The 7197-nt window shown below is 43.8% G+C and overlaps 1 long non-coding RNA gene across 4 annotated transcripts; it reads left to right on the plus strand.

The window, feature by feature from the left end:
* Positions 1 to 484: 484 nt before the first annotated feature.
* LINC03103 (long intergenic non-protein coding RNA 3103) lies at positions 485 to 6096 on the plus strand. Of its 4 annotated transcripts, none has more exons than NR_172937.1 (4): positions 485 to 627; positions 1129 to 1259; positions 3531 to 3621; positions 4720 to 6096. It is a non-coding gene; the product is annotated as a long intergenic non-protein coding RNA 3103 (long non-coding RNA). The 4 variants fall into 4 exon arrangements; NR_172935.1 differs by lacking the exon at positions 1129 to 1259 and adding an exon at positions 2293 to 2427 and having other exon boundaries at positions 3524 to 3621; NR_172934.1 differs by lacking the exon at positions 1129 to 1259 and having other exon boundaries at positions 3524 to 3621.
* The last annotated feature ends 1101 nt before the right edge of the window (positions 6097 to 7197 follow it).

The following is a 7197-nucleotide window of genomic DNA, read 5'->3' on the forward strand; positions in this document are numbered from 1 at the left end:
AACCACCTTTCAATACTGCAATGCTCTGTCCCCATGGCTCTCTCTGTAACCCCGCCTTACTTTATTTTTCTTACAACACTTAACATCTGACCTGTTTGGTAGTTTGGTTTTTGTCTGTCTCCCTGTCATTAGAATGTAAGCTCCATGAGGATGGAGCTTTATACATACTTTTTTCCACCCATGTGCCTATACACCCCTTCCTAGTTATGTTACCAACTGAATGTACCCAAGTCACACAGCACCAAAGTATGTAAGCGGCGGCGAATCCATACGGGTCTGCAGCAACCTCAGTTCTTGTCTCCTCAGAAGAAAGAATCCAAACGAAGAGCAGAGTGAGAGACCGAGGCAAGTTTAGAGAAGGAGTGAAAGTTTATTAAAAACTTCTCCCCTGATTCTTCCCTTGCGGTGGGCTGTGCCCATGTACAGTGGCCCAGTAGCACTTGGGAGGGGCTGCATGCGTGGTGCGTTTACTGGAGTTGTACGCATGCTCACATGAGGCATTCTTCCTTTACCAGTCCAAATGCTATACCGGTTAAACTCCGCCATTTTGCCTCTTAGTGCTCATGCTTGAGCCCGCTTGCCCAACTCCTGAGATGTCATCGGGAAGCTGCTGATCAGCAATTACAGGTGTTTCTGTGTATTGGGAGACTGCCTTTCCCTGTCATTGATCAATTATTTTTTTAGAGAGATACTTAACAACTACCTCACCATCACTTGATGGTTGCCTGACATTCCTGATTGGTGAGGGAGAGAGGGAGGGAGTCAGGGGGGCTCTCCTGCCCTGTTCCTGTCTGACTAGCTACCTGCTGTAACAATTATACTAGTACTAGTGATAAACCTATCACTTGTGCCTATGACAGGGCCTTACACAAGGTAGATAACCAATGATTATGGTTGAATTAATAAACAAGGCCTCTCTTATGCCCCTAAAAATGCAGAGATGCTCTTCTCACCTCTCATTCGGAATCTACTCTCAATTATATATAAGACGGTAAGATTAGTCAACTCACTCTCGTCAGGTGGTTAACGTGCTAGTGGTTAATCCAATCCAATTACTTGTTCAAATAATTAGACCCATGCTGGATGTGTTCGTTCAGCTCAGCCCCACCTTCTCTGAAACTATCTCAGAACCAGTGGCTTTGGTTGGGCACTGGAAGTACATAAAGAAGAAGACATACATGCTGTCTCAGGGTGATCGTGGGTCTCTAGCCAGGAGTCAGATGACATCACCACCATCACAAGCTGGTGATGCCAGAGAGGTATGAATGGGGAATAGAGTTGAAATTCATATGGAAGTGACCAGTGGAGTTGTCGGGGAAGTTTTAAAAAGAAAATAACAAGTAAACTGGGTTTTGACAAAAAATAACATAGGGATTTCTTTTCTGCATGTGAGTACATATCTAAAGTAGAAAAGTATAAAAGTTAAAAAAAATACACAATTACTTGGTTCAGGTTAATGCCCACAGCCCAGAAGAAGGCTCAGAGCCTTCTCTGTGAGTGTAAAGTTTATCCAAGCCACCTTGGACACCATCACATTCTCTGCTTAAGCAAAGCTGCTTGTCAGAGGAGTTTCTGCATATTCTGAATATTCAGGGACTCTCCTGGCCCTACAGGTGGCTCAGGAAACCCTAGAGAGGAAACGCATCCTCATTGGTGAAAGGATCTCACCTGGCTTTTGCCGAGGGTGAGCAGTGTAGAGGGAGCATAATAAACTCTCATAGACAACATCTGATTTCCGACAGCTGTCCCACTTCTGAGGCTTCGTGCTCTCAGCGCCGCCACCGCCAATGCAATATCCTCCAGTTTAAGGTTAGGTACCAGAAATATTTCTGCCAGAAGTTCTTGATGTAATCAAAACGGGATTTTCATGGACTTGCGTAATTTTAGGATCTGGGTGAAGAAGCCTTACCCAGCCCCGCTTTGAGTCTGGCCCTCAGTCTGTCACATAGTGAAACAGCTCGACATCTGACTTTGAAGCCAGGTTCTTGGGTCAGTTCCTACCTTTGTGTATGTACCAAAGAACTCCTTCAAACACTTCCTTTCCCCACCCATCTGTCCCCACAGACATGTACCCCAATGCCCTTAACTTGTTCCTAAATGAGTAAACAAAGCTTCGGTAACATATAAACATGATTTATGAAAACAAATCTCTCCCCAAATCTGCTTAGAGAAGCAGTGTCACATAACTGTAAGCAAAGATGAAAGACCACGATTAACAGGGTCCACATCTGTTCGGGGGAGGATGCAGCTTGAGTCTCTGCCAGCCTCTACCTCAAAGAATGTGTGCGCTAGGTCAATAATGAAACTCGTGGCCCATCTGTCCTTCCGGTGTGCCCTGCACTGTGCTAAGAACTTCCCATCCACTGGATCTCACGGAGGTTCACAGTCATCTGAAGAGGGGGTCCTGTGTTCACCTGCATCTTGCAGGTGAGTGGACAGAAGTGCGGAAAGCATGAGAGCTAGTGCAGAGAAGAGCTGGGGCACCAGCAGTAGGACTGGAGGCAGGACATTGTCTTTGGTTACTACCTGGATGGACAAACTACATAGATGAAGATTAAAAAAACAAACAAACAAACCTGGGCCTGATTTATCAAATTGGGATGTCTCCATTGATCCAGTTGCTTGCATCATGTGTTAATTCTCTTCTGTTCTCTTTCTCATGTAAGCACCACCTGTCTTCCACATTATGATGCGAAGCTGAAGATTCACCCCACTAGGTCAATGGGGACACTAATTGGGGAATATTTGAGGTGCAGAGAGGAGGTAGATGCTACATCCTGTGAACCTCAGTAAGGGGGATGCCTCTGTGTGTAGGGATGTCAAGGCCCTGGCCCCGTGTCATCCCCAGATAAGCCCCATATCACCCTGGGAGCTCTGCAAGGACAGAATCCATGTGACATTTTGGGAACTTCTAAGATGCTAATCAGAGGCCTTCTCCTCTGAGTTCTCAAACAAATGAGAAGTAGACCCAAGGGTCAAGGGTTGATGAAAATAGCATGGTTGTTTGCAGAGCTGGATTGGATCTGCAGAGAGCCCAAGCCTCCCTGTCTTCCTCTGTCTAGTCTCCGGCCACTGACAGAGTCCAGGCAGAGACAGAACCAGGCCGTAGACTTGCTGTGGGGAAGGATATCTGTCACATGGAAGCAGAAGCCAACAGCATCTTTCCCCTGTGGTCCCTAAAGGAAAAATTGAGGCAGACCACAGGGAATAGCAACTCTTTCGTAGCTTAAGACACCCATGGACATCTTCTCATCCTTCCCAGCAGCTGTCCTTCAGGAAAGAGGGAATGGAGTGGGAATTTTCCCCCCAATACTTTCAGGGAAGAAGTCATCATTTGCTACTCTCTGAATGTTTGTGCTTTTTCCCCAAATTCCTATGTTGAAGTTCACCCCTAAGGTGACGGCCTTAGGAGGTGGGGCCTTTGGAAGGTGATTAAGTCATGGAGATGGAGTCCTAATGCACAGGATTGGTGGTTTTATAAAAGAGGCCCAAGAGAGATCTCTTTTCTTTTCCACCATGTGAGAACACAGCAAGCAGTCACCGTCTATGAACTAGAAAGCTGATTCACCAGACACCGAATCTGCCAGCACCTTGGTCTTGGACTTCCCAGCCTCCAGAACTGTAAGAAATAAATACCTGTCATTTGTGGGCCACCCAGTCTATAGTATTTGGTTATAGCAGCCTTAATGGACCAAAATACCATTCCTGTGCCCATCAGCAGCATGAAGAATAGGAAATGATATCTTCCCACTGTAGGTGTCACTGTTGACCTCCATCACACCTTCTTGCATCCACACCCTTGCTGTGGCCTCATCACAGGTTGCATATGCTTCCTTAACTCTGAGCTCTGAGGTTGGCTATGTGATTTACTTTTAGCCAATGGAATGTAGATGGAGACAGGAGGGTGCCAATTTTGAGATGAGGCATTTAGAAGCCCTTGATTTCAGTAGACCCTCTTGTGCCTCTGGTATCACCATGGGGAGAACATGCCCCAGTTACCTCTCTGATCCAAAAAGTGCGAGAGACAGGTGGAAAGAGACATTGTAGACACCCTAGCAATCCCAGATGGAGAGCTGCTTAGTCAAGCCCATTCTAGATCATCCAAGCCCCAGCCAACTCATAGACACCTGGGTGGTAATGCAGGATTGCTGCTTAAGTCCACAAGTTTTGGGCTGTCTGTTATGCAGCAACAGCAAACTCATAACACTTACCTTTCATATTTATTTTGGAACCCCCCAGACCTAGCAAAACTCCCAGAATAGTGTAGGTGCCCAAAAAGTATTCGTTGTTTGAATGAATTAATTAAATCTCCTTTTTGTAAACCAACTCATCATAATGTCTCACTAACAGCTGGTATACATTGCAGTATTTATCTATGTGATTTTGGAGGAATAATTTAAAAAAACAATACCAAGGCAAGACAGTAACCTCTCTTGATACGAGCTGCTAAGCATTTAAAGTCCTAGGAGTCAGAGATCACCTGGCTATCTTCAACATCACCTGCAGGCAGCTGGTGCATCACACGCCATGGTGTGATGAAGCCATCCTCCTTCACCCCTGTCTAAACTCTGATGGGGAGAAATGAGCCAACATGGCCATGCATTTATCTGGAGTCAATGCTGATTCTAACTCCATGGCCACCTTTACCCTCAGGTATGTGAGTCCCATCAGAGAGGTTGCCAGTATGACATCAGATCCACTTTTCCTCTTATTTTTCAGAGGAAATGTTCCAACACATCTGAGGAAACACATGCCTTCCCAGACTGGCCTGTTGCTGTTTCCCAGGAGCTGCATTCTGGAAGGTGGACCATCAGGTGGAAGAAGTATTCTTCAGAGAGCTGCCTTCCCAAGGGAATGGTGACAGCTTGCGCTTGCCGGGGAGTCCTGCTGCCTTCCGAGGTGTGAAGGGAAGGCATGCACTGTGCATATGCTGTACCATACAGTTTTGCCTACAACTGCTTGTAGCTTCATTGTAGCTGTGAATGCTCCGTTCCTCTCCTTTTCACCCCTGAAGATTCGCGAACATGCAGGATTGAGCTGTGCGAGGCATAGCATTCCCCACATGGTAGACGAAGGCGGATGTGGGTCTGATGGCTCTACTGCCGTCCACCCGGGAGGATGGACGTGTGTTCCGGGATATCAGAGCTTGCGGCTGACCAGCCCACATGTCCATGCAGCCCTCCCGCTGGCTGTGTCGACATTTTGGGTGTCACTGAAGGATTTTACTGGTGCAGACTTTACAAAGGCAAAATTGTTTCTCAAGGAAGTGGACATGAAAGATCTAAAATCAGGGCTGCTTAAAAAAAGCAAGCACAGATTAATGACCTATCTACATCCTACACGGTTTTAGGACTGCGCCTAGATGGGCTTAAAGACCCTAGCCTAAAAACTGTAAATGTGCTTCCGTCTTTGCCCTGTAGGACAAGAAAGCCTTACGGGCTTGCTTCTAACTGTGAGAGGAGGAGAGGCCAGGAAGGGAGAGGGAGAAAAGGAGGAGAACAGGAGACGAGAAGGAGGGGAGAGTGAGGAGAGGAGGAGAGAGGCTTGTCAAAATCTTTTTAGTGCACAAAACTAATTTTGTTCATCTTGGATTTGGTGAGCTGGGTAATATTCTGTGCACGGCTCCTAAATGAATTATTAAATGTCAACTCAAGATGGCTTAACTAAAATACTCAATTTAATAACCAAAAGTATCTAAGGTAACAACAACAATTTTGCAGGTGATTGTAGAGTTGTCAAGTCAAACCATTATAGACAAGCATTTGGGGTTTTCACATAATCTCCTTCCACATCTCATCTTCTGTCACTAAATACCCACTCTGGTGAGCATATTCCATTTCAATAAAGATCATCGCTTCGGTGCCAGCTTCTTTTTATTCAGATCGAGCCAGAAAACCTTTTTTTTTTTTCTAAAATATAAAGCAAAACAAGATCTCAGTCACAACCACCAAATCTTTATTAATGCATTCCTTGTGCTACTTCTGAATATTAATAAAAATTAATAATTAATTTTGCCTTTGGCATTGCAAGATATACTAGTTTTAATTAGTGTACTGTACTCCTATACAATTAAAAAATAATTGATGTCCATGCTTATTGGCGGTGTCTGTGATCTTCCTTTCTGTTGTTGTCAACAAATGCCTTAAAAAACAAGTTTCAAGAATGTTGTGCTGCCCACTTGATTTACACACCCAAAGTAACAGGCAAATCTTTTATGATGAAACAGAACAGTTTTCTGTTTAAATTATACACAAGTATATTAACTAGAAAGAGAAAATTAAAAGCTGATGTCTACAAGGAATAATGGAAAGTCTATAAAAATGTTTTATCTATCAACAAATTTGCCTGGAAAATATCAATGATTGGCACCATCTCTCCGCTGAAACATGGGGAGGCCATCTTGGATGTGTTATGTCAATTCCATCAAGCATTTAATTCTGACGTCCTCCTTAATCAGCTTCAGTTATTTAAATTCAGCATATCATGTTACTGTTCTACTACATCATTTTAATTGTGCCATGAACTACTTTATTATAGAATGCTAAAGTATTTCCCTGTGCCTCCTTCTTCCTCTGAACAATGCCAGCTGTAGAGAGACAGCCCATGGTGAAAGGAGGGAAATTGCTTTCTTTGAAAATATTTGTGTCAAGAATCTTGCATAGAGAGAGGGTGGTGGTTGTTTTAGCAAGAAATAATTCAAATCCCACAGCACATATTTCTTAGTTTTCTTTCTTTGAACCAGGATTTTTATTTTTTATGAAATCTCCATTGAACAACTACAAATGTATCTGTAATACCAAGAGGTAATAGGCTAAGAGGAAAGAGACTTAGGAAAACACATGGCAAGGAAGAAAGAGTCAATGTGAGATGCAGATTTCACACTTTACCCTGGACTCACTGGTTAATAAGGATGTTTACGGAAGAAAAATCACAAATTGATGCAAATTTTTATCATATTCATGATCTTAATAGCAATTTTATTTTTTAAAAAATCTACTCTACCAAAGTATCAGTCCTAAAAACGTAATCTTTGGTTTATTTTTCATAAGAGAATTGGCTTCAGAGAACCTATCACAATCTAAAATCATCTTGTCCATGTGTCTGTTTACTTGTTCATAATCTGCATCTCCTCCTAGGTCCAAGTGCATGAGTCCCGGTGCCTGACTGTCCCCTTCACAGCTGCACTCACAGTGCTGA

The sequence above is a fragment of the Homo sapiens genome, chromosome 19 (genome assembly GCF_000001405.40).
Source record: "Homo sapiens chromosome 19, GRCh38.p14 Primary Assembly".
In the NCBI taxonomy this organism is placed as follows: domain Eukaryota; kingdom Metazoa; phylum Chordata; class Mammalia; order Primates; family Hominidae; genus Homo; species Homo sapiens.